The sequence below is a fragment of the Homo sapiens genome, chromosome 10, assembly GCF_000001405.40.
Source record: "Homo sapiens chromosome 10, GRCh38.p14 Primary Assembly".
NCBI classification, from domain to species: Eukaryota; Metazoa; Chordata; class Mammalia; order Primates; family Hominidae; genus Homo; species Homo sapiens.
Genome location: NC_000010.11, coordinates 109,153,296 through 109,156,879, shown reverse-complemented (window position 1 = coordinate 109,156,879; position 3,584 = coordinate 109,153,296).

Here is a 3,584-nt window from a genome sequence, read left to right as displayed (position 1 = left end):
CCACCTCAAAAACATTCAGTTAAAAGAAAAAGCTGGGGCTTTCTGCCTTGAGGCTCTTTCTTTCTTTCTTTCTTTTTTTTTTTAAAGTGATAAAACCAGATTTTATTCAGGAACTATTGCAATAGGAGAAAAGAGACCTAAGTACAGAACTAGACTCAATTCTGAATACAACAAGGACAAGTGAGGATTTACAGTCAAGGAGCAGGGTGTGGTCATTGAAAGGAAAATTACTAAGAGGAAATATTTGGGTAAGTGGGGATTCTGGTTAAACTGACTTGACGAGATTCTTGCTGAAGGCAGGCTGGCAGGGGGAGGGGGTCCAGCTGTCCCCTGGGGGAATGTCTGGGACAAGAAATTTGATTTTATCGAGTGATCAGAAATGGAGGGTGGAGGATTCTTTCTGAACTGACTTAACAGGATTCTTGCTGAAATTGGGTGATCCAGGCCCATCGATGATGTCCACTGAAGCCCAAAGTCAAAGCTTACTTGAAAAGAAGGTTTAGAAACCTGACTAATGTTTGGTCAACAAGAACATCTTTGAAATCAGGAAGGAACACATATATATGTATTGCTACCTCTTTTCTGTTGCCATGATAGGGCCAGACTAATTACTTGCAGACTGCAGCTTCCAGGGAAAATCATGATACAATTTTTATTCAGAGGAAATGCATTATGTGGATTTTAAGGGCAGTTTTCGGGGGAAAAGAGGGAGATAAAATGTTATAGGAAAGCCACATCCAGTTTTCTGGAATGATATATAAAAAAAAAGAAGCAATTAAACCAGTTATGTCTTCAATGTATTGATAATCCGAGATGCAGTGGATAGTTACATAAGTATTTTCAGCACCATTAAGTGCTCCATTTATTCTAGGAAAATGAACTATGGTATCTACTGCATTTACAACCTTTGCAACAACTCTACTCATGCACTTCATTGCCATACTCACAGAAAATGCAAAAAAGATGAGCCAAAAAGTCATATTTTATATCTATGACCCTGCCCCCTTGGCTACAGATACTGGATTGTAAGCACTTGATTGAATGGTAGCCAATGCATAGATTGTTTGTTACCTATGACATGCATGGCTTTGCATGAAATGATGATCTGAGCTAATCACATTCTTACTCTCATTGACATGAATTGAGGAAAGAGAGAAGCAGGCAATTAATAGTAGATTTCAAGCTGAAGGTTACATGCAGAGAATCCCTTGACATGGGTTTGGAGTCATGTATGAGGAATTAAGTTCCTGTGAAAAGTCAGCACTATCTGAGTTATAATCAGAAGCTATCAGGGAGAGAGAACATCTAGAATACAGAGAGAAAAAAATAAGGTAAATGGTGTGGTAGGTTAAAGATAGCTACAAATTATTTGACACTTTGTCTTCCCCAAAAGTGGGGTACTATTTATTTTTCCTGTTAATCTGAGTGGGTTTTTTTTTTAATATACTTTAAGTTTTAGGGTACATGTGCACAACCTGCAGGTTTGTTACATATGTATATATGTGCCATGTTGGTGTGCTGCACTCCGTAACTCATCATTTAACATTAGGTATATCTCCAAATGCTATCCCTCCCCTCTCCCTCCACCCCACAACAGGCCCCGGTATGTGATGTTCCCCTTCCTGTGTCCATGTGTTCTCATTGTTCAATTCCCACCTATGAGTGAGAACATGGGGTGTTTGGTTTTTTGTCTTTGAAATAGTTTGCTGAGAGTGATAGTTTCCAGCTTCATCCATGTCCCTAAAAAGGACATGAACTCATCATTTTTTACAGCTGCATAGTATTCCATGGTGTATATGTGCCACATTTTCTTAATCCAGTCTGTCATTCTTGGACATGTTTGTTGGTTCCAAGTCTTTGCTATTGTGAATAGTGCTGCAATAAACATACGTGTGCATGTGTCTTTATAGCAGCATGATTTATAATCCTTTGGGTATATACCCAGTAATGGAATTGCTGGGTCAAATGGTATTTCTAGTTCTAGATCCCTGAGGAATCGCCACACTGACTTCCACAATGGTTGAACTAGTTTACAGTCCTGCCAACAGTGTAAAACCATTCCTATTTCTCCACATCCTCTCCAGCACCTGTTGTTTCCTGACATTTTAATGATTGCCATTCTAACTGGTGTGAGATGGTATCTCATTGTGGTTTTGATTTGCATTTCTCTGATGGCCAGTGATGATGAGCATTTTTTCATGTGTCTTTTGGCTGTATAAATATCTTCTTTTGAGAAGTATCTGTTCATATCCTTCACTCACTTGTTGATGGGGTTGGTTGTTTTTTTCTTGTAAATTTGTTTGAGTTCTTTGTTGATTCTGGATATTAGCCCTTTGTCAGATGAGTAGATTGCAAAAATTTTCTCCCATTCTGTAGGTTGCCTGTTCACTCTGATGGTAGTTTCTTCTGCTGTGCAGAAGCTCTTTAGTTTAATTAGATCCCATTTGTCAATTTTGGCTTTTGTTGCCATTGCTTTTGGTGTTTTAGACATGAGGTCCTTGCCCATGCCTATGTCCTGAATGGTATTGCCTAGGTTTTCTTCTAGGGTTTTTATGGTTTTAGGTCTAACATGTAAGTCTTTAATCCATCTTGAGTTAATTTTTGTATAAGGTGTAAGGAAGGGATCCAGTTTCAGCTTTCTACATATGGCTAGCCAGTTTTCCCAGCACCATTTATTAAATAGGGAATCCTTTCCCCATTTCTTGTTTTTGTCAGGTTTGTCAAAGATCAGATGGTTGTAGATATGCAGCATTATTTCTGAGGGCTCTGTTCTGTTCCATTGGTCTCTATCTCTGTTTTGGTACCAGTACCATGCCGTTTTGGTTACTGTAGCCTTGTAGTATAGTTTGAAGTCTTGGTCAGTTCTAACCTGGTTCTGGAGTTCATCAGCAGTCTTAGCCCTCCAAATCATGAGTTGACCTGCCTGCCATAGATCTGGCATTAATTGTGCCTGTTTTGCAGTGTGGACTCCTGAATACTTTTTCAGCACAAGCTTTGCAAACCCTGCTTGCCTTTATGTTGATTCAGTTTTTGCTTCTTGCGTTACACCTGGAGTTTCTTTGGCCTATACCTGATTTCCTATTGAGAATAAAGTGATTCTGTAGATCCCTGACATTCTACAGTGTCCTTGCCATCATTCTCTCCTATGGAAGTGAATCCTGTCCCTTCATTAGCAGCCACAGGCTGGCATATTGATGCAATAGGCTAATTACCCAGAGCCATAGCACTTCTACCCACCTGAATTAGAGCACTGTAATCCCACTTCTGAATGAAATGTTAAATGAATATCAGAATATCTCTGAAACTCTTCTTAGATTATCATATCTTTTTATACTGTTGTGGAATCCCAGTGACCTACAGGGGCCAGTCCTTCAGCTTGGTCACTTTCTTTAGCCCAGTTAAAACTTCCTTCCTCTTACTTTGGACCAGTGTGGCTTACATTCCAGCATGAACTGCAACTGAAGCCAAATGTGGCAACTGAGCTGATAAAGGATGTTGAATTGTCTTCTACCTATCAAGTTTATTGGGTGATGACAGACTGGATAGGTTGGTATTCTTATTCTCAGCCTTTAGAGGTCAAAAAT